Source organism: Homo sapiens, chromosome 6 (assembly GCF_000001405.40).
Source record: "Homo sapiens chromosome 6, GRCh38.p14 Primary Assembly".
Taxonomy (NCBI): Eukaryota; Metazoa; Chordata; class Mammalia; order Primates; family Hominidae; genus Homo; species Homo sapiens.
Window position 1 is genome coordinate 75,156,755 of NC_000006.12, and position 25,203 is coordinate 75,181,957.

At 35.8% G+C, this 25,203-nt stretch overlaps 1 protein-coding gene across 10 annotated transcripts in view; it reads right to left on the reverse strand.

Moving 5' to 3' along the window:
• The window catches only part of COL12A1 (collagen type XII alpha 1 chain), a 121,728-nt gene that overhangs the window by 72,429 nt on the left and 24,096 nt on the right, over positions 1-25,203 (reverse strand). For 5 of the 10 annotated variants that reach the window (NM_001424114.1, NM_001424113.1, NM_004370.6 and 2 more), the window contains 4 exons: positions 24,185-24,457; positions 20,909-21,181; positions 18,284-18,556; positions 8,753-9,025 (listed from right to left, as the gene is read on the reverse strand). The exons of 3 other annotated variants lie outside the window; for them this stretch is intronic. In NM_001424114.1, coding sequence (NP_001411043.1) covers positions 8,753-9,025; positions 18,284-18,556; positions 20,909-21,181; positions 24,185-24,457 — 1,092 coding nt within the window. The remainder of the gene's footprint in view (positions 1-8,752; positions 9,026-18,283; positions 18,557-20,908; positions 21,182-24,184; positions 24,458-25,203) is intronic. 2 more of the 10 variants (XM_011535435.2, NM_001424115.1) reach the window with 1 other exon arrangement.

Consider the following 25,203-nt stretch of genomic DNA (forward strand, 5'->3'; position numbering starts at 1 on the left):
ATTGCAGAGATTTCCTATTTGCCTTCTAGAGACTTTAGTAAAGAAAACATCCATTTCCGGAGATAAGGTTTTAGAATTTTTATTATATTTCCATCTGTAAAGAATTTATCCAGTAATAATGCTGTGGAGAATACTAAAAATTATGAATGCAGGGTTGGACATTTTACTTGAACTTTTTCAGAAAAAGTTGCAATCCATAAATAACTAGCCAGAGTGACTGTAGTTAACACCATTCTTATGATTGCCACGCACATCTCAGACTATGAGCACAAAAGAATAGGAAACTAACACTTCAAAATATCTCAGGGGCTCTAAAGATAAACTGGTATATGCTGAGTATTTCAGAAAGCACTATCTGTAAATAGTGTTTGCTTAATATGTAATCAATAATATGTAATTATTAAATTCCGTTTACTAATATTTCACAATTATTAATAACGCTATATGAAATAAGTAACCAACAGCCACAAATAACCTACAACATCCTATTTTTATATATAATTAGAGTTCATAAGCAGGACCATTTTATTCAGTTCAATAATCAGTGTTCAAAAGAACATAAACATGTTCTATAGAAAAAGATTAAGCTAAACAAAATTCAAAATCAGCAAAGAATCTTTCCTGATTGTAAGAGAAAATTTCGTGTTCAAGTGGTCAAGAGCCATTTGAAACAATGAAGAAACCCAGAAAAAAAAAAACCTAAGAAAAATAAACACAATAATTTTCAGACACGACATCAGCTGGCATAGGACACTGATCCCTAAGAGAGATAAGGAACAAAGGGGAATAGGTTCTATGATTGCCCAGCTATTGCTTGGAATTTCCAGTCCCCAGTAAAAGAAAGGGGAATCCAGATGGAGGCTGGTGGCCTCCCTTAATTGTCAAGATGTTGTTGCAAGTCTGGAGAGCCCAAAGCAACCAGAACTTGAAGAATAGAGTACTGTGAATGAGAGAGTGCCACAGAGAAAATACTTGGTCTTCAACCTAGGATAATCAGTGCACATGTGTAAGAAAACCACCCAAAACTAGGGAAAGAACCACCCCAAAGGAGCCCAGGGAACAATTTATTGAGCTCACACAGGGTTAGAAATGTTCCCCCTACCCAGAAGAGAAAACCTCACAACTGTAGGGAGATCATGTAGGATATTTAGTAGGTGATTGTCTCAATAATGGGGCAAAATTAGTCCTAAACTGAAACAGTTTAAAAGCAAATGTCAGATCAAACTATTTCCAAGTAACTTAACTGTATTCCAGAATAAAACTTAAGAGTATTTATAAGAACATAAAAATATCTAGCACCCAAGCAAATAAAATTCACAAAATCTGACATCTAATAAAAGTTACAAGACATGCCAAAAAGGAAAAACTTATGACTTGTATCATGGATTGAAGGTCTCCCACCACTAAATTCATATATTGAAGTCTCAACCTTCAATGTGATGACATTTAAACATGAGGCCTTTGTGGAGGCAATTTGGGTTTAATAAGGTCATCAGAGTGAAGCCTTAATCTGATAGGCTTGGTGACTTTATAAGAAAAAAAGGAGACACCAAAGAGCTCTCTCTCTCTTTCCACATTCACAGCCTGAGAAAAGGCCATATGAGGACATAAAGGAAGGTGACCACACACCAGGAAGAGAGCCCTCACCAGAAATCAAACCCTGCCAGACCTTAATCTTGAACTTTCCAGCCTCCAAAACTGTGAGAAAATAACTTTCTGTTGTTACAGCCACTCAGTCAATAGTAATACCTTTTGTTATCACAGTCCAAACTAAGACAACACATAATAAGAAGAAAAATCAATCAATAGAAACAGAACTAGAAATGACATACATTACAGAATTAAAAAGGATGTTAAAACACTTATTATAACTATATTTCATATGTAATAATGGTAGGAGAAAGATTAAGCATTTTAACTAGAGATATAGAACATATAAAAAGACTCAAATTAAACTTCTAGAGATAAAGATAAATCTAAAATGAAAAATACATGAGATAATATTTACAGCAGATTAGAAAATATAAAAAAATGATTAGTGAACTTGATGGCATTATAATAGAACATGAAACACAAGGAAAGAAAAAATTTTTTTAATGAACAGAGCATCAGTGAGCTGTGTGACAACTTCAAGCAGACTAACATATGTGTAATTAATTGGAGTACCTGAATAAAGTGGGGGTGTAATAAATAAAGTATTTGAAAAAATAATGGGATGGACTGGTTCAAATTTTATAAAAACCATAAACTCACAGATCCTAGAAGTGTAGTGAACCCCAAACACAAGAAACATAAAGAAACTATACCAAGACACATCATAATTAAATTGCTTAAAATTAGTAATAAAAATAAAATCTGTAAAGCAGCCATATTTTTTTAAAAACACATAATATGTATAGAGGACAAAGATAAGAATGATAAAGTAAGCAAATTCAATATATGGTTATGATGGTTATGAATTATGCTTCTGAGAGATAAAAAATATAATTTCAATCAAAATTATATTGGCTGCAATTTTTATTTTTAGGTTTAAAGAAACTAAGAGAACTCTCAGTGAAGTCCATTACTTTCTGGAAATATTAAAATTTATTTAGATTAATCATCAATTTGCTATTATTATTCTCCAGGTACGTGAACTATTAAAAGAAAAAAAGTTTATATATATAAAATATATATTATTATATAAAAATATATATTATATAAACATATATATGTATTTCCAAACAAAAAATCTAAAGACTTTTACCTGGAGTTTTGAAAATAGTACAAGAAAGAATAGTATATAGAAAAATAATCTATTTGGATTATTAGCATTACCAGTTGTCACAAATATCAAATAAGTTGATGGGTGTCTAACAGTTTTCTAGAAGGGGTTGTGCTACAATACATTTTCTCATCTTTTGTTTCATCTCTTAAATTTTTACTCAGTGGAACAAGACATTCTCTCTCTTACAAAATTTTTAAACGAATTTCACACAACTCAGAATTTAGAAAAATAAAAAGTTAAATCTTATGAATGTTGATCTAAAAAGAAACTTAAGTTTCAAAAAAAAATGGGATGCCAAGCTTTAAAATGTTTAAAGAAACTTAAGTTTCAAAAAAAAATGGGATGCCAAGCTTTAAAATGTTTCAAAATTTAAACATGTTAATAACAGCCAAAAGTGATATCTCATACCTTGATATACTTTAACAACCTCACTTATATTCCTGCCTTTTAATTAACTCTTCAAAATAAAGAAACTGAAATTAAATACAGTATAGCATATCTCATCCTAGTTTTAATGGGAAACTGGATTTTAGGGAGAAAAAAAAAAAACCCTTGTTGGTTTCCCATAACCAAAGAGCAAGAATTTTTACATCATTGATTGGATACCACATGCCATTAAATGCTGTTACACCCTCTCACATTGTAAGTTCTTTTCATGTGTTAGTAACTATCACCAGACACTTTCAAACATCCACTGTACCACTGCTAAGCCAGCTGCCATAAATTAGAAGGGCAATAGAAAGTGTCCCTTCTGCTGGCTTTCTAACCCCAATTCATGATTTTCATTGTATCAATGTATTCGTTTCATTGTATCAACAGTCTGCATACCATGTCCCTGAGTTTCAGGTGAAAGCAATCTTAAAGACATTCCCAAAATGCCCTCTTGGAAGCATATGTGAAACTCTAGGAGCATGGGCTCGGGTTTCTGCTGAGTTATCCACACCTTAGGATTCCTCTACCATCTGAATAGCAGATCTCACTCAGATTTCTGAAAATACTTTCTAAACAACAACAAAGTGGTGGTAGAACAAAGAAAGGTCCATGACTTCTTTCTTATTTACTTAGACATTTCAGCAGTTTTCACATACAGTCGCCCTTTGGTATCCATGGGAGATTGGTTTCAGGATCTCCCATAGAAACCAAAATCCTCACATGCTCAAGTTCCTGATATAAAATGGCATAGTATTTGCATAAACCTATGCATATCCTCCCTAATACAGTAAGCCCTCACCTAACGTTAAATAATTTCTTGAAAACTGCAACTTTGAACAACTGACATAAAGAAACCAATTTTCCAGAGGTTAATTGATATAAACAAGAGTTAAGTTCCTACATCATATTTCTGATCACAAAAACATCACCAAACTTCTCAATAAAAACCAAAACACTTCTCATAAGAAACACTGATGTATGTGTGAGCTATATACACATTTAAGAAAGATAAATGAAAACCAGTAACATAATTATTCACCCATTTATTCCAGTTAAGGGTCACAGTGGACACAGCCTGTCCAAGTAGCTCAGGGCGAAAGGGAGAACCCCATCCTAGGCACACACACACACACCCACACTCACTCAGGCTGGGACCACGTGGACGCACCAGCTCACCTAACATGCACATCTTTGAGATGTGGGAGGTAACTAGAGTACCTGGAGGAAACCCACAGACATGGAGAGGATGTGCAAACTCCACACAGATGGTGACCCCCACCAGGAACCAATTCTTTTTTCTCATCAATGTTATGATATTATTTGAGAACTTGTTAACTTTAAATCATCTCTGCATTACTTATAATACAATGTAAATGTCATATAAATAATTATTATACTGTATTTTACTAGCATTATTATTTATTGTTGTATTGTTATTTCTTATTGCTTTTTAAAAAATATTGTCTATCAGCAGTTGGTTACTTTTGCACATGTGGAACCTGAGAATATGGAGGGCCAATCGTAACCTAAAAATGAACATTTCATTCCTGCCACGTCTGCTCCTTGTTCAAAAGAGGCCTCCCACAGCCAATATCATATTGAATGGGCAAAAACTGGAAGCATTCCCTTTGAAAACTGGCACAAGACAAGGATGCCCTCTCTCACTACTCCTATTCAACATAGTATTGGAAGTTCTGGCCAAGGCAATCAGGCAAGAGAAAGAAATAAAGGGCATTCAATTAGGAAAAGAGGAAGTCAAATTGTCTCTGTTTGCAGATGACAAGATTGTATATTTAGAAAACCTCACTGTCTCAGCCCAGAATCTCCTTAAGCTGATAAGCAACTTCAGCAAAGTCTCAGGATACAAAATCAATGTGCAAAAATCACAAGCATTCTTATACACCAATAACAGACAAACAGCCAAATCATGAGTGAACTCCCATTCACAATTGCTACAAAGAGAATAAAATACCTAGGAATACAACTTACAAGGGATGTGAAGGACCTCTTCAAGGAGAACTACAAACCACTCTCAAGGAAATAAGAGAGGACAGAAACAAATGGAAAAACATTCCATGCTTGTAGATATGAAGAATCAATACTGTCAAAATGGCCATACTGCCCAAAGTAATTTATAGATTTAATGCTATCCCAATCAAGCTACCATTGACTTTCTTCAAGAATTAGAAAAAACTACATTAAATTTCAGATGGAACCAAAAAAGAGTCCACATAGCCAAGACAATCCTACCCACAAAGAACAAAGCTGGAGGCATCAAGCTACCTGAATTCAAACTATACTAGAAGGCTACAGTAACAAAAACAGCACAGTACTGGTACCAAAAACGTAAAGTGCAATAAATAGACCAATGGAACAGAACAGAGGCCTCAGAAATAACACCACACATCTATAACCATCTGATCTTTGACAAATCTGACAAAAACAAGCAATGGGGAAAGGATTCCCTATTTAATAAATGGTGTTGGGAAAACTGGCTAGCCATACACAGAAAGCTGAAACTGGATCCTTTCCTTACACCTTATACAAAAATTAACTCAAGATGGAGTAAAGACTTAAATGTAAGGCCTAAAACCATAAAAATCCCTAGAAGAAAACCTATGCAATACCATTTAAGACATAGGCATGGGCAAAGGCTTCATGACTAAAACACCAAAAGCAATGGCAATAAAAGCCAAAATAGACAAATGGAATCTGATTAAACTAAAGAGCTTCTGCACAGCAAAAGAAACTATCATCAGAGTGAACAGGCAACCTACAGAATGGGAGAAAATTTTTGCAATCTATACATCTGACAAAGGGCTAATATCCAGAATCTACAAAGAACTGAAACAGATTTACAAGAAAATATCAAACAACCCCATGAAAAAGTTGGCAAAGGATATTAATGGACACTTCTCAAAAGAAGACATTTATGCAGCCAACAGACATATGAAAAAAAGATCATCATCACTGATCATTAGAGAAATGCAAATCAAAACCACAATGAGATATCAGCTCACACCAGTTAGAATGGCAATCATTAAAAAGTCAGGAAACAACAGATGCTGGAGAGGATGTGGAGAAATAGGAACGCTTTTACACTGTTGGTAGCAGTGTAAATTAGTTCAACCAATGTGTAAGACAGTGTGGTGATTCCTCAAGGATCTAGAACTAGAAATACCAGTTGACCCAGCAATCCCATTACTGGATATATACCCAAAGGATTATAAATCATTCTACTATAAATACACAAGCACACGTATGTTTATTGCAGCAGTGTTCACAATAGCAAAGACTTGGAACCAACCCAAATGCCCATCAGTGACAGACTGGATAAAGAAAATGTGACACATATACACCATGGAATACTATGCAGCCATATAAAAGGATGAGTTCATGTCCTTTGCAAGGACATGGATCATGTTGAAAACGAACATTCTCAGCATACTAATGCAAGAACAGAAAACCAAACACCATATGTTCTCACTCATAAGTGGGAGTTGAACAATAAGAATACATGGACACAGGGAGGGGAACCTCACACACCGGGGCCTGTAGTAGGGTAGGGGGCTAGGGGAGGGATAGCATTAGGAGAAATACCTAATGTAGATGATGGGTTGATGGGTGCAACAAACCACCATGGCACGTGTATACCTATGTAAAAAACCTACACATTCTGCGCATGTACCCCAGAACTTAAAGTATAATTTTAAAAAAAGTTAACTTGGGAAAAAAATAGGACTTTCTGTTCATCAATGTTTAAATCAAGCAATTAGCCAAGAAATATTGAAAATTTCTTAGATGCTCATCTTCTGAGATACAGAGATTTATTTAGTTTCTGCCACCATATTTGCTTTTGGCGACAACACATCTCTTGTAGACATTTTAAATTCCAAATAATTATTTGAAGCCTCCAACTTTTTGGAAAAAGACAAAACGGAGGATAATTTCTGGAGGAAAAAAATCCCTCTAAATACATATACTTTTGTAATTTCTCAGCCACATGAACTGTATCTGTACTCCTACAAATAAATTTAGCTTTATGTGTCATATATGACCTAAGTTTACAATACAGCTTCTCTTGACAAGTGAATTTCCTCAAAAGTAGAGAATGAATTTCTACCATGTTCTTAAACTACATCAGCCAATATATTCCAGACACAAGATTTTATTTACTACCATAGAAACCAATCATGTGAATATCTGAGAACTATGTCTTCTCACATATTTAAATTTCCTATAAAGAAGTTGATTTTTAAAAATCTGGTGAATTAAGATACAAATTTAAACTTGAACATCCAACTGAGCTTGCAAATGATAAAAAGAAAATGAACTTAGACACAAAGATTTTAGTTTAAGGACAACTTAAAATCAAGATATAGGACTTAACTGAAATTGCTCATGGCACTTCTCCCTCTCTCTTCCTTTGCCAGAAAAATCACCAAATTCCTCTATTTCTTTTTTATAGAAGGAAATGCATGAATGCCCAGTCTTTCTCCTTTTCCTAAAACCTTCCCAAAACAAAAGGATTAAAGTTTTCTCCTACAAATGCTTAGAAATGCCCATGCTTAACAAATGACATTTGCTTTGGTTTGGTTTCAATTGTTTGTTTTTAATAGATTTTGTATTGTTTTAGAGCAGTTTTGGTACAGAGATTGAGCAGAAGGTACAGAAATTTCCCATGTACCTTTTCCCACCTCCACACATGCACAGCCTCCTGCATTATCAATATCCTTCACCAAAGTGGTACATTTGTTACAACTGCTGAACCTACACTGACACATGATTATCACTTAAACAAATAACCTTTTAGGATAGTGAATTAAGATATCCTGACACATCTTTCACCAGCCAGATGATTATGATAGGTAATTCATAATTATTTACAAAAAAAAAATATCAGTAAGAGTGAGGTAAATCTGAGCCATCAGAAAATTGAGTGGGCTTTTGATTTGACCTTACCAAATATAATAGGAATAAAATAAAAATAAAAATAAATAAAAAATTAAAAAACTAAGTTAAGTCTTGGTTGTATGATAATCATAGTTTCAATAGCGATCAATCATTTATCAATCATCTCTAAGTGGCTAGGCACTATGCTGGCCACTTTGTATATTGCTATTTTATACAATCCTCACAACTCTAAGAGACAAGATTTATTATCTGCATTCTACAGATTAGGAAACTGAGGCTCAAAGAAGGTTAAGTAACTTGACAAAGATCATGCAGCTATACAAATGTGCCCAAATTCTCTTCGCTTCATAGCTTCTGGTCTTTTTACTAGTTGGGTATTCTATCTAGTCAATCATTGCACCAGAAAAAAAAAAAGACAAATATAGGTAGTTGAAAGAGATTCGATATTTCAAAATTTGATATACTTTTAGACACTAACCTACTCTGAATTTAAGCCAAATTCTTTAAAGATCCTAATTCCTCAGTCTTCATTTATCATGTAAAGAAAAAACATTCAAGTGATTAAACTGCATGTCACTTGAGCTGATAACTATTGGGTAGCACCGGCACACACCCAAACACACCCATAATGTTACCTACATTCAGTTGTGGCATCTCCAGTCAAAGGTTCTCCTTCTCCACTGCTGTAAGTGGCAAATACTGAAATTCTGTATTTGGTCTCTGGCTGCAGATTTTCTATCATCGTATGAATTGCATCTTCAGGCAGATTTTTCTCTCCAGTGTCAACATCATCATAAAGTGATTTCCATGAGACCCTGTAACCGCGAACCATTCCTGGAGCAGATGTCCAATAAGCCCCAATTGATGTGTCAGTGATGTCTTTAGTAACTAAATCTTGAGGAGAACCACGTTCTAGAACAGAAATTAAAAGGGAATCTTTTTTAAAAATGTCTAGTAGGTATTTAAGTATTATATTCATTGATCCTGGTAGAGATTCTGACTTGCTGGACTCACACTCAATTTGTCTAAAATTGCCCATTTCTTCTTTTTGAGTTGTCCATCCTATTCTGTCTGTGGAATAGATAGATGCAATAAAACTTTAGAATTCTATTTGATTCCTACCTCTTAACTTTGCCCTCATATGCCTAGTCAGATAATCTTGTCCTTCAGGACAAGATTGACATCCAAATTTGAAGGAGTATTTGTCTTTAAAAAAAAATTCCAAAGGAAAAAAAATGTATCTAAGTCCCAGAATTTTATCACATTTTTGTCTGCCTTGTGACATGGCCCATTGTTCACAAAGATCTTTATTTCCTTACCATGATCTTTTCCTCTCTGATCTAATTTAAATAAACTCAGTTTCAATGCATGATTTACAACAACTGCAACAATCTCATATCACTTACAAAACTTAATGCCAACAACAGTTTATTGGTGAAACTTTTATTTGCTCATGCAGTTTAAAACGTAGCAGTGCAAACTTTCAATATAGCTTAACCCTAACAAAATTGAAAACAACCAATTCTTCTGGAAAACTTAAAAGTGATTAGTCACCAAAATAAAACATACCACTTGTTCTAGCTGATCAAAAACGTCTGCTACTAAATTTTGGCTCTTTCATTCAAAAAACATACAACCCAAGTGGAAAAATATGGAAACCTCAACTTAACAGGAGGCACAAATGTCTTTCAATAAAACCCTCACTCTCCATATTTTAAATGTAAGATAAATATACAGGTCACTTTATATTGTCTACCTTTACTAGGGTTTATGCCACAGTATGACATAAATACAAATCTATCTGCTTCCCAGCATACATTTTACCAGTAATTGTTGTATATTCATGCAAATGATATATAATGCTCTTACAAGAATTTTAAAAACTATTATTTTACTTAACTCAAAGAGTTAAAATGAATATCTTAAACGCAGTCATAATTTAACAATTATATTTCAACACAAAAAGTAAAGGTAACAATGAATGAAAAAGAAATCTAGGTGGACAAAAACCTATCATATATGGTCGATTTAGAGGGAAAAAATAAATGAAACAGAAGCTGGGCAGCCTACCAGACCCCAAGCCCAAATGGAAAATTCTAACTCCATTATAAATAACTTTAACTGCTGACAGCACATCTCATCCCTGGAAGGAAATTAGTTACATATTTCACTGGAACAAAGAATACTTATTTTTAAGAGCACATTGAATTTTTACCCTCAGCTCTTGAGGTTAATTCCCATTTGAAAGTCTTCTTTAGCTGTCTTTACTATGTAAATGGTCATACACCTTTCTATTTTCTCTACTTGGAATATAAAAGTACAATTTAAAACTGTTTGTTTTATTTGGTTTGGCTGTGGGCTTCTTTGTTTTGTTTTTTATTTGTTTTGATAATCGATATCCCAACAACTAGTCTCTAAGTTTTAAATGTACAGCACGTTTTTCCTTTGCTTGATATATACAATTTTCAATATGTGCCTTTTCCTCTAAATTTCCTAGATTGCAGTCAGGAACAGCTGTTGTGAAATGACCTTGCTTGAAAGCAATTTTGAATTTAAATGAGCTGCATTAACGACGTTTCAAAAAAGTATCAGACAAATAAGGTTAACTAGAATGTGGAAATTATCTTTCAAATTAACACCGGGGTAATTTTAAAACAATTTCAGCTTTTATTTTTCCCAAAGGTTTTGCTTCTCAACCTATTTTTCTTTCTACAGCACTAAATTTGTGACATTGTTTATTTCCATGACAACAGACATCAATCTCATAAACACAGGCTAATGATTTCACTGTGAGAAAAATAATAGGAAGAGAATTGTGGTTGAAGCAAAAATACATTCACAAAGATATTTCTGGGCTTAAAACAAAAGGATTTAAGATCACAAGACATGTCTTCCTATGGATTTTAATCAACTATTTTAACACTCTCAAGACTTGTAAAGCTAGAACAAAATACTAGTAAAATGCAATGAAGACCTTTCCCAAGGTTTATCGATATCCTGAAAATAATCTACAACAGCACTTTTTAAGATGCAAATTAAAAATCAACTAAAAAATATTTTTAAGCTCTAATTAATGGCATGACAACACTATTTTGAGTGAACACTGAGTAAGTTCTCAATCTCAGAAAAAAACTCACTAAAAATTGTAGTTCTGCCTGTGGTATGTAAAGGCAGGCACTGTCACTACAACATTCCATGTTAGTGACATAGCAACATAGACTCCAAAGAAAGGAGAAAGATAGTTCAATCGAGACACCACAATTGAGAAGATAAACTGCTTCATATGGGTTTCTTACATGTCAATCAGTCAGTTTGATAAGAATATTCCTAAATATTAAATCCATCCTGCTCCCCAAACACATTGATAATTTTTTTTAGGGAGGAGGGCTGAATATTCTGTTACATTACAACCAGGAATTTTGAGAATAAGTTGTACTCATGACAAGTAAATGTATAGCCCTTGAATTTTTAAAAAATGAGATCTTGGTTTGGCCAAACATTAGATTACCAAAAAATGAAGCAAGTGGATTGCGCCCTGTGGTACAGTTGGCAGGATGGAAGCTGGCAAGTGGCTGAACTGGTCTTGGGGCCAGGTATGCAACCATCTGAGCAGGTCAACAACAGGCTATGTCACCTCCTGGGGCCTTGGGGCCCTCAGCAGCAAAATAACTGGACTGGACTTGAACCGATAAACAGAATTGCCTGAAAAAACAAAGGCTGGACCCTACCCAAATCAATTAAATTGGAATATTTGGGGATGCACCTAAGTACTGGTGCCTTCTAAATATCTTTTAAATCTGCCCTGTGATTCCAAAACCTCTACAATTCTTTATTCTTTCCCCTTTTTGCTCTTCTTTCTACTTCTCCTCTCTGAGGTCTAGAGAAGCATTTATTCGGGAGGTGTGCTGGGTCAGTGTGGGAAGGAACCTCAAATCTGCTTTCACATAGAAATGGTGCTCCTTCAAAATAAAGACAGGTATGGTGAAGGTAAACTGGTCAAAATCATTACACACATGATGCTCTGTAGGACTGCTGGGTGGCTTGTATTTTGTGTGGTTATATTGCCATGTACAGAAAATCACTGCTTTAGGCGGCAAAATAATCTCAAGGCTGACCCTCAGAGAACAGAGGAGATGATTTAAGCTTTTCATCACATCTCCATGGACACATGTGGGATGTTCACTGCTCTCTTCTCCCCTCCATCTTGTCTCGACAGGAAATGGCTCTGAACACACGCATGCCTCTTATTGAAGAGCTGAGCACATTTTCACATTAATGAAGTTCTAAGTGTTACCTAGCAAGGCATTTACTTGGTTCAATACATTGTCATTTTTGTCCTGAATCTGAGGAGCTCCAGACATCAGTAACTACAGGAAGAAATTATCCGACTTGCTTTGGTTTAGTTTCATTATATTGGGTTTATGCAAGAGTCCCTTTTTAGAGTACCTAAGAGGGACTAGGAAAGAGAGAGGGAGAAGAACGTAAAGATGCCAGAAGACCAGTCTGTAGGCTATCTCTAGGAGAGGTTACTGCTCCTCAAAAGGGGAAGGCATAGAAACAGTGGCAGTGAACAGAAAGCAACCCTAGTAGACTTTTTGCCATGTAGTCACTACCTTTCCCTGAACCTAGATCTACTTTTGCTCTAGCAGAGGCTCCCTCCCTTCTGAGGTCCTCCTCTTTCTTCTGTTCCCCAAGATTTACAAATATGTGTCTTATGGTGCTGGGGTTTGTTTAGGGTTTTTTTTGAATAATGTTTAGTCTCATAGTACTTGCTCTCTTCTGTTCTGGATATATGCCTGTGTTCTCTCTATTAATTTTATCTCTGGTAATAGAAATTCTGGCAATCATTTCAAACAAGTCATCATCTACAATGATGATATTCCTTTATTACCATTCCTTTGATTCTATCTTGACAATTTTCCCTTACACTTTATTCTTCCTAGTATAGTACCAGTATAGGTATAAATGTCATAAGTTTAAAGGTATAAAACTCTATCAGGTTTTGAAATCTGGCTACTCAGCATTTCTGTCCTTATTATAAAACATAGTTACATCTATTCAAAAGCCATTTTTCTAGTGTGTGCTTGCATGTGTCTCTGTGCTGCTGCTGTGGGAAGTAATTCAGACAGGTCTACTTCTCATGATCTGAACATCCTGAAGGGATTGATTCCTACACTGCTTTTTTCCACATACCAAGCCAAAGAACTAATGCCTCATTTAAGTAACTTTCCTATGTTTCCTTACCCCTTTTCCATTTTCTTTCTGAAAAGCAAATTATCATCCAATTCAAATATAATTATAACACAAATTAGCCAATGATAAATGAAAAATTAATCATCATGAAATAAAACTGCATTTCATCTTATAGATTGTTCCAGCCAGCTTTCATTGAGTTTCATATACCACTTTCAAAAATAGAAGTTAAATTGAAAATGTAACGTAAACTCTCTTCTAAATCAATTTGTCTTTTCCATTAGAGCTCAGCTCAAAAGTCATCCAACTTTCCACAGCAATACAGAAGATCTGCTTGTGGATAACATTCATGTGGAAATACATTTGATTTACAACCAATGAATTAGAGCCACCATTCCAAAGGACAAAGTTCACTATTGATAAGTTAACTCAGTTACTTTAAGCTATGCACAGTTCTTAAAAACAACTTAACAATTAAATTACCATTCAACTTCAAAGTCGGCTTGAGCAAAAAAGTGTTTCTTCCGTAATTATCACCTCTCCACATTGACTTCAATTTTTATCTGACAAGCAATTAATTCACAGAAAAAGGAAATAGAAATTATTGTTTGGTGACTGTGCTAAAGTTCCCTGGCAACGTCAGAGTTATTATACCCAGAATGTATGATTTTTCAAATTATGAGACAGCAGTAAATCAGGGAAAACACAGAGGCCTTGTTTAGTCCATCTTTAAGGGGCCCATGTTACTCAACATCATGCAGAATTCCTGAGATGTGCTAAAAACCTCATTGTAACAAAATGTCAACTGAATACACTTGGTTTGATCTGTAGGAAGCCATTCATATCCAGGACATTAGCAGGTTGCTATAGCAACTGAAACAAAGGAAATTCTAAAAAGTCATATTTTCCATAGCCAAAAAACAACACTCAAAAATTTAACAAGAAAACATATTATTCTTCAAATTGAAATTCTCCTTCATTTGTGGTCAATCGCTGAATTAAAATGGGCAGTATTTATTGAGAGGTTTATAAAAACAGATTTTCCTCCAAGCACTAACAGCAGCAATTAAAGGTTCTTTCAAGACTTGAAGTTCAATTACATATACAGTAGGGTTGTTGTAATTACATTGTCTAACTGCTCTAACAACAACAGGGGAAAAAAACAATGTAAATCAAACCTAATGATGTATGCTCACATTCCTCTGAAGTTTGGATCTGAAATAGTAATAAACTCTGCCTTTGTGATTCTATTGCATACAGTACTACAGCCAACCATGAACTTCCCCAATGCCAGTGCTAATAAATCTCTCTTCCAGCAACAAGGGAATTTTCTGATCATTGGCTGCATTTCAAAAAAAGTACTAGGAAATAGATTCAAGTTAGGGATGGTTGTAGACCACACTACACATTTTTTCAAAATACAAAACAACAACAACTTTATTTCCTTTTGAATTGAAAGCCATAATGCATTTGAGGTAATCTATAAGATGTCCAACCTACAGAATGCTCCTGCCGGCTGACACCATGCCTCTGGATAAAGGAAACATTCCTTCAAGTTCTGCTCTTACCACCTCCTCTCCCAAGAGAAAAACAAATTAGAAAAACAGCAGCCCTCAAAAGCAGTTGCCTGGCTCTGTTTCTGGGCTTTCCACTCCCTGCATTTACCATCATATCCTATTCCTGTATATGGTATGTGGATTTGGCTGAGTTAATACAATAAAATGAAATGGAATAACCAGGGGCAAAAATCTTCTATTATTTTCATTTAGTCACAACTATGCTTTCACATATTTGTCAAGTTTACCACACATAATGCAATGGGATAAATATGTTAACAAAATCAGGCTGGAGGCCCTTCGGTAATCCTTCACTGCAGTAAAGCACTTTAGCATAAATGAACAAAATGTCCATTGTAAATTACTACAATTTAGTTAGGAATTAACTGTATTTTTTTAAGCAAACTTGCAAATTATCTAGCTTTCCTTCTTCTCAGGAAATAGAAAACAATAGCTTTTAAAATTTATTTTACTAGCTATGTGTTTCCCTTAGAGATTGTTTCTTATCAAAGACACGTGCGTGTGTGTATACTCACACATGCGTACAAGTTGATAGGTTTTTGATACCACTTGTGAAGAGCTATAATATTATAAACAATTGAGCAATACATCTGGCTTACAAAAATCACAGCCTAGTAGAATGTGCTTCCTGTAAAATTAAAAAGTACATTTTGTTAAATACAATTTGTAATATATTATTCTTGGCAAAAATGCCTTAATTTTTAGAATCGAGAAGATTTTTACTGAGCATAAATATATTTTTAAAAGCAAGAAAGCACAAATGAATACCAGAAGGCTAAAAGGCACAACCAGAAGAAAAACTATTAAATTATTTCCAAGATACTCCTTATAAAGAAGAAATGTTCACAAATACAATCTACATCTATCCTGTAAAAAATAAAGAGTGAAAGTTTGTCCTCTAAAAAAATCTTATGAACAACCTATGCTAAAAGATTGTGGAAAGCATATGGAGAAACAGAACTTCAAAAGGTCCAAAGAAAAGGACAAATTTCTCCAAAATTCTGGATGTTGCCCCAGATTGTAAAGATCACAAGCTTTTTTTGTTTGGATTATGTCTGTGTATTTAAGGCAATTTCTGTTTCTACTATTTTTTTCAAAACTTTTTGTGTTACCAATTATATTTGAAATACTAAAGCTATACAGTTGACAGCATGGGTTTGCACTGTGAAGGTCCACTTATATGCAGATTTATTTCAACAAAACGCAGACGAAAAATACAGTATTCACAGGATGCGAAAGCCACCTATATCCGGGGGCCAACTTTTCACATATACAGGTTCCCTAGGGCCGACTGCCGGACTTGAGTATAAGAGGACTTTGGTATATGCAGGGGATTTTGGTATATGCAGGCGTCTTGGAACCAATCTGCAGCCCCCAACCCTGAGTATACCAAGAGGCTTTTAGATATCAGATCTAAAGTTAATAAGCTATGTCCTCTTGATGAATTTTGTAGACATAGAGTATTTTACAGTTTCCAATGAATTTCACTTACATTCTCCCATTTGATCTCAACAATAACTCTGGGAAGAAAGAGGGAGGATAATCATCCCTTCTTTATAGATGAATAAACTAAGGCCCAGAGGGGTTAAAGGTTTACTCCAGGTCACACAGCTAAGCAGTACAACTGGGACTCTTCTAGTTGTAAGTACTTTAAACACTGGTATTTAATCTTTCATTTAAATCTTTTTCTAGAAACAGATTTCATGGACTATGGAAATTTAACTCTTGATCACTATTATTATTATTTTTTTTTTTTGAGATGGAGTTTCATTCTTGTTGCCCAGCCTGGAGTGCAATGGTGCAATCTCGGCTCACTGCAACCTCCGCCTCTCGAGTTCAAGTGATTCTCCTGCCTCAGCTTCCCAAGTAGCTGGGATTACAGGCATGCGCCACCACGCACAGCTAATTTTTGTATTTAGTAGAGACAGGGTTTTACCATGTTGGCCAGGCTGATCTCGAATTCCTGACCTCAGGTGATCCACCTGCCTTGGTCTCGCAAAGTGCTGGGATTACAGGCGTGAGCCACCACGCCTGCCCGATCACTACTATTTAAATTAGTATTTTTTATTTATTTGTTTTTCATTCTTAACCCTTGAAGTTTCTAAGAACTGCCTATTGTATGTCCTGTCTCATTAATTACAATATCTACAACCTTCCAAGCTCCTGGAGCCATCAACTTTGATGGATATTTTGCTTAGTCACTGTGATTTCATATTAGAAGATACTTCAGATTCATTTTCTTCCTATAATCATTTAAAATAAATCATATAAAATATAATGATAGGAGAAGGAAAGCTATTGCTGATAGTCCATGTAGGCCCCCAGTTATAGGACTGAGTCAACATCATGGGATTTTTAGCATTGCAATCCATTCTCATTGCGGTGCAATTAAATTTGTATTTTCTCTCCCTTGCATTATTCACTTAGTAGCTGTGGTGAGTTAAACCTAAGCTGTGATTATATCTCAAAAATCCTAAAAAATATAAAGGCCTCTGACAATTAACTCTAAAGAACCAAGGAAACTGCTCCAGTCTTGCTGATGTTTCTTACTAAGTACTTTATCGCAATCACTTTGAAAATTTAATACAGAACGGAATTTCAGAAATCACTTAGAAAACAAATAGAAACTTGGATTCTTGGCCAGGCGCGGTGGCTCAGGCCTGTAATCCCAGCATTTTGGTGGCCGAGGCGGGCGGATCACGAGGTCAGGAGATCGAGATCATCCTGGCTAACATGGTGAAACCCCGTCCCTACTAAAAATACAAAAAATTAGCCAGGCGTGGTGGCGGGCGCCTGTAGTCCCAGCTACTTGGGATGCTGAGGCAGGAGACTGGCGTGAACCATAGAGGCAGAGCTTGCAGTGAGCCGAGATAGCGCCACTGCAGTCCAGCCTGGGCGAAAGAGCGAGACTCTGTCTCACAAAAAAAAAGAAACTTGGATTCTTATATTTCTTGAGCTTTTATGCATGGTAAATGGAAAGAGCACTTGAATGGAAGTCAGAAAATGGCTCTTATCTGGATCTGAAAGATAGAACTAGCTGCATAAACTTGGGCAATCCAAACCTTTTTTCATAGATGTTTCCCAAGGTCCCTTCTCGCTCTGAATGTCATACACCTATTCTCCTTTCAACCAACCCATGGAACTATAAACACATCTCTTTGGTCTTATTATGCATCCAGCTCCCCAAGGCACTTCTGAATCAAGTTTAATTTTTTCAGTTGCTTACATTCTACATCTCTGAATAACAGAGAGCTTTATGGTTATTTGTTTTTCAATATGGATTCTTTTTAAGAGAAAGGATTGCACACTTCTAGATTCATTGTCTGAAGACATTTTAAGCTTCCTAGAGGCAGCACCACAAACAAGTTCCTGGATTTTCAGAAAATATGATGGTAATTACCTTCAAGTGTTGTTCCTTCACCAAAGAGGGCGTCTCCAGCCCCAGACGCATACAAGGCTGTCACAGATAAGGCGTATTGTGTCCCTTCCTTCAATCCCTGCAGCACCGTATTGGTTGTATCTCCCCTCACAGTGACCTCTTGAGTTTCACCCCCTGCCACTGGGGTATATGTGACGAGATACTGTTTCACTTTTCCTGGTGCCCCACTCCAAGATAATTTCATAGTAGACGTCGTAGGGTCAGAAACTCTTAAGTCTCTTGGATTCCCTCTAACTTCATTAAAAAATGACAACATCATCAAAACCCATTATTTAAAAAAATGACTTGAAAAACACTTTGTTACTTTACTTATGCATGTGCACTACATCAAAGTTATATCCTGGGTGAGACTATGACAATTTTAACTGTTGACCAGCCAACAAAGCTTAAGCATCTCTGAATCAGACCCTATATGTTAGTAGAAACAAGGGGAAAGATATTCAGTCCCTTTTCTGTGTTTACAAAGGTTAAAATCTTCCATGTAAAATCTTTCATGTTAGAATATTTCCTATAAAATAGTTTCCCTGTATTTCCTTAAAAGTGGAACAAAGCACTATAAAATATATACACATTGATTAGTATTACAATGCAGATTTTAATTCCTTTAAGAAATCTTCAGTAAAAACAGTTAATCAGTGTAATGCTATGAACATCTAAAGGTAACAGGAGCGAATTCTGATATAATAAAAATGATAAATTATAAACATATTGCTTTCCCTAGGGGGAAAAAAAGTAAGAGAAAAAACAGCTAAGTGAGACCGAGCCTTGGGTACAAATCCCGAGGGACCACCCATCCTTTTGTAGCTGTGATGTCTGCTATTTCATGACTTTCTTTGTAGATTGGTCATGTCCTCTTTGAAGGTTCCTAAGGAATCCAGCCCTATGTCACTCTCCACTGAGCATATAAAAGCCAGCTAGTTTTACTCCAGAAAATAGAAAGATAAAGAGGTATTGGGTCACATTATGGTACCCAGCACAAAGAGCCCTAGACCCTCAGCAAGAGAGAAAACCAATGAAGTAGTCACACTTCACCAATGGAAGAGAGGAGGAAGGAAGCAGGTAAAAAGAGAAAGCCTCCATAGCAGAACAGGCTAATGAGCTAGGTTGCAGGGGGAAGAGAGGAGAGTGAAACAGTGAAAGGAGGAAGAGAGATGCAGTGGGAGGGAGGGCAATGGGCAGTGGGAGCGTGATGCAGTGGGGGAGGAAGGAAAGTGATACAGTGTGAGGTGGGAGAGTGATGCAGTGGGAGGAGGGAGAGTGATGCAGTGGGAGGAGGGAGAGGGATGCTGTGGGAGGTGGGAGAGTGATGCAGTGGGAGGTGGGAGAGTGATGCAGTGGGAGGAGGGAAAGTGATGCAGTGGGAGGGAGGGCAGTGGGCGGTGGGAGCATGACGCAGTGGGGGAGGAGGGAGAGGAATGCAGTAGGAGTGGGGAGAGTGATGTAGAGGGAGGGAGGGCAGTGGGACAGAGAAGGGTGATGCAGACCAAGAGATAATGGATACTCCTTGTAAATGTCTGCAGTAGGACAGTAAAATCCACAAACTCAGATTCACCATTTATTAGCTGTGTGGTCTTGATTTATTATTTAATTTCCTCAGCCTCAATTCTCTTATCAAGCTGAGATGATGATAATAATAACATAAAGTCTATGCAGAGATTAAACAAAATATATGAAAAGCTCTTTGTACAGAACCTGACACCAGACAGGTACTCAGTAACTTTTCATTATTGCTAATGTGTCCTTGGCATTATTACTGCTATTTTAAAAACATTACAGCTAGGAAATAAAATGAAAAATTATGAATGCCTCACTTTTCCCCCAATGAAATCACGTATTAAACATTAATAATTTCAACAAACATCAGAATGTATACTGGGATCCTAATCATCCCATTTAAAGAAAACAAGTTAATGTTTAAAAATCTTTCTTAAGAAGTAAAATACAATTTATTTCAATGGTGCATAGCAGTTTGATTTTTAATTCTTAGTCATCCTTCAATTCACACTAAAACATTTAATAATATTATTTTTAAAAGAATATTGAGACTATATCCTAGCATTTAAATTCTATTGACACAAGGCCGGGCGTGGTGGCTCACGTCTATAATCCCAGCACTTTGGGAGGCCATGTCGGCCAGATCACCTGAGGTCAGGAGTCTCAGACCAGCCTGGCCAACATGGTGAAACCCTCTTTCTACTAAAAATACAAAAATTAGCTGGGTGTAGTTGCACGCGCCTGTAATCCCAGCTATTTGGGAGGCTGAATCAGGAGAATCACTTGAACCCAGGAGGCAGAGGGTGCAGTGAGCCGAGCCACTGCACTCCAGCTTGGGCAACAGAGAGAGACTCTGTCTGAAAAAAATTAATTAAATAATTAATTAAACAAATAAATCTATTGACACAAGTAAATAATGTCATGATTAAGTAAAAAAAAAATTTTAACTTAAATCTAAAAGGACTATGGTCTAACATACTCAAACAATTGAAACAAAGTGTCTCATTAGTTTTTTATCTGGATAGTTGTCCCAATTTTCCCCTCTAGTCTAAGAGTTTGGTTGTCACCATATGATAAGCATATTTCCTCTACCTTCTTCAGTGGCTGCATTTCCAGTTAATGGAGTACCAGGTCCTGAGAAATATTCAGGAATTACAGATACTTCATATTTCGTGTCTGGAATCAAGTTCTCCAGTGTTCTCCTCCTCTGATTGGGTGGGGTGGTAACTTCTCTGCTCTCTCCACCAGCAACTGGTCTATATATAATTCGATATCTTAAAACTCTCCCTGGAGCTTGAGTCCAAGTAATTTTGAAACTATCTGTAGTCTCATCTGTCACCTTTAGGTTTCGAGGTGCTCCTTTTACTGAAATAAAAAAGGAAAAATAGATTTTAAACCATAAATTGACTGACTTTATATGAAAAATACAAAAATTACCTTTTTATTACTAAATTATACCATTTCTCTAAAGAAATCCATGAGCAATTTATTTGCAAACATCCTGGTTTCTGTACTCATTTAGCCAGAGATTAACTAAATTCTGAAACAGCAAATATGAATTCTATAATATCCAGAAAGAAACTAAGTACTGTTAATTTTTTAATTACATAAAGATGTATATAATAGTAAACTTTTAAAATAATAAATATTCTATCAAATGCTAAATTTATACTGCTATAAACTTCAAGAATAAAAACAAGTCATTTCTTTGAATATAAGCAGCCAAGACTTTCACTCTTACTACATTTTCTCACGAAACTAGGAAAATAACACCTAACACCCAGCTCTACCATATCAACCCACCCAACCAAACCGTCTTATCCAGTCCGTCCCACACTAACTTTTTATCTGTATGGTCATTTGACTTGGAGAATAATTCAACCATACACAGGATGGAACAAGCACAGAATAGGTACTTAATGAATGCTCATTAGATCTACATCTTGAAGCTAAGATGCACTATGGGTAACACCCACAGACTCATAATTTTAAATGCATTTTTCATTATGCCCAAATGAGAACATCATTTGGTTTTGTGTTTAGTAAACATGTTTAAATGACCTTCTTGCTCAATGGGGCCAACTGCCTATACAGACAACATATTCAGGAAAGATGAACTAAAGGTCTTTGTCTTCTCAGTCCACTGGGGTGAAAGCCTAGCACAACACGCCTGGCAAATAACACACAGACATTTAGAAGTTTATTTAAATATTCAACACATCAATAGATCACTCCAGGGAGAAAGAAAGGAAGGAAGTATATCTCTCTAGAAGAGAAAGGAAGGAAGTATATCTCTCCAGGAAAGAAAGAAATGGTAGTTGGCCAACTTACACCCATGATTCATTTTGTATTGGAAGGAAAAAGATTAAACGAGTCAGAACAAATCAGCAGATAGACTGATGGGTTGGAATCCTAGCTCTGAAGCTTAACAGATATGTAATTCTGAGCCACAGATTACCCTAGCAGCAAAACATGACTATTTATAGGATTATTTAAGTGGTTAAATGAGATAATCTATGGAAAACATTTAGCAGAGCCCCTGACACATAGCAGGAGCTCTGTAATTGTTAGCTTAATGAAAGTATTACATTGGAAACTTTCTTATCAACTAAAGCAAATTTAAATCCCAGATTCCATTACAGACAATATAACTGAAAAGACTTTACCAAACTCCATTGTAGTAGACCAATGACCAAAAACTAGAGTGTGTATGAATGGAGTGACTTCTACTCAAAAACCCTGAGACAAGTCCTCTCTTGAGACAGATTTCCCATTCCCCTCCCAAAATGCTGAAAAGAAAGGGTCAGGGTCATCGAGCAGCAGTGTGGGCATTACAGGAAAAGCATCAGAAACTCAGAAATATCTGAGTACAGCCTTCTCCCTTATATGACCACAAGTCATAAGATGAAAGGACTTCTTAGACCATTTAGTTTATGTGATGGACTTCAGGAAGAAATATACCTAAACCATGCAAAAAAAAAAAAAGGAAAAATAGCAATCTTATCTGAAAAATGTTTCACAGAAAAAAGATTCTCTAGCTTTTATCAGTATAGTATGCCAATGTGCACCATCCCTGTCAGCAAATACTTCCTTATAACTATCTTAAATTCCTCACACTATTCTTTCATGGTCTTTACCTCCTATTCCCAGTCAAAAGAGGAAAGAACAATTGACATCTATTGTGATACTTTGCTATGCTTATGTTAAAGAATAATTGCCTTGCCTTAGTCTTCCACTAACCAACTTAAATTGGTGCCTTAAATGTCAAACATAACAAAGTGTGTCCAAATATATTCAATTCTATCCAGTAAGGAGTACACATGTAAACAAATACTGCTTAAAACATTTGGCAAAATGTGCACACCATGTTCATAGCAGCAATATTCACAAAAGGTGGGTGCAGCCCAAATGTCCATTGATGAATGGAGATACACAAAATGTGAAGCAGGGCGCTATGCCACACACCTGTAGTCCCAGCTACTCAGGAAGCTGAGGCAAAAGAATCATTTGAGCCTAGGATTTTGAGGCCAACCTGGATAACATAATAAGAACCCCATCTTAAAAGATATGTGGTGTATACATACAGTGGAATATTATTCAACCATAAGTAGAGAGAGCATTCTGACACACGCTACGACATGGATCAACCTTGAGGACATTTACTAAGTGAAATAATCCAGGCACAACAAGACAAGTACTGAAAGATTCCTCTCAAGTGAGGTAGTTAGAGTAATCAAATTCCTAGAGACAGAAAATAGAATGGTGGTTTCCAGGAGTAGAGGGAAGGAGGGAATGGGGAGTTATTGCTTAATGGGTACAGAATTTCAGTTTTGCTAGTTCTAAAGACGGATGGTGGTGATAGTAGCACAACAAGGTGAATGTACTTAATGCCACTAAAATGTGCACTCAAAAAATGGTTACAATGGTAAATATGTATATTTTACCACAACTTTTTAAAAAGAAAATAAATAATTTATAATATACTTATTACCTATATATACATATATATATTTGCCGTAACTCTGTAAGTACAGTAAACAATTTCAGAAAGATTTAAGACATGACATTCCTGAAATTTGGGACCAAAAAAGATGGATAAACAGTATTTCAAAAGTTAATTCCATAATTATCAACAGTTCTCTAGGTCTCCTAACTTCAAATTCATCAAAAGAAGTCTAAGGTTTTTTACTTAAAAGTTATTTTTCTCTTTTTAAAAAGATTTATGAAAAGCTGTCTTTTAAAGATGCCAAATCTTACAAAGGCATTGGCAATTCTGAACTATAAAGCAGATGGTTATTACAAACTGTAACTTTGTAGTGCAATAAATTATTCATTTTCTGAATAACAGTGGCAGAAACCCCATCACACCTTCTTCGGTGGTCTCCTCTCCAGCTAAGGGAATGCTGAAGCCATCCTCATACTCCGCAGTCACATTGACCAAATACAAGGTCTCTGGCTTCAGGCTGCTGAGAACAACACTGGTGCTCGATGCTGGCTCCACCACAGTGACCTCATCATCCCCAGCCGCTTCCTTGTAGGTGATGTGATATGAAAAAACATTTTCTCCAGCTGGAGACCAGTTGGTTTTGAAACCATAAGAAGTCACTTCTGAAAAACTAAGATCCTTTGGAGGGACGTAAGCTATTTAAAAAAAAAAAAAGACAGTTAAAAATGCTTGAATCTATAAAACAAAACAGTAACCAATATTTCAATGTTTATAAAATGGCTTACATTAATTTGGGAGAATGGTGCTCATTGAGACTACTGTACTGGGTATCTCATCTACATTTGACCATTGAGAGAAAGCCCCCCACAACTTACAACCCAACAAGAGATCTTGATTATTCACCTTGACTATCTATAATACTAACTTCTATTATTTAAATGACTGATTAAATTTGAATGTGAATTTTGAGATTCTTAAAGCAGTCGTAATAGAATGGCCTTGCCCATAATTGGAATATTTAAACCATAGCAGACCTAAAATGAACCATCTACATTTTCCCATTCATCCCTGGTACTTGGATATTAACCTTTGGTGGTTTGCAGACAAATATTTCAAAGTAAAAATTAAGGAATTTTTCCCAACAACAAAATATGTATTAAACTTAGCAGTTATTAAACTAAATCATAGAAAGAGACAATGTTTAACACATACAGTAAATCCTTAGGGGGCACACAGTCAAAATAGAGAAACGAGAGAATGCAACATTATTAACAACCAAAAAAAAAAGGCAGGAAGGGTATGGGGGCTAACGCCTATGATCTCAGCACTTTGGGAGACTGAGGCAGGTGGATCACCTGAGGTCAGGAGTTCAAGACCAGACTAGCCAACATGGGGAAACCCCGTCTCTACCAAAAAAAAAAACAGAAAAATTAGCCAGGCG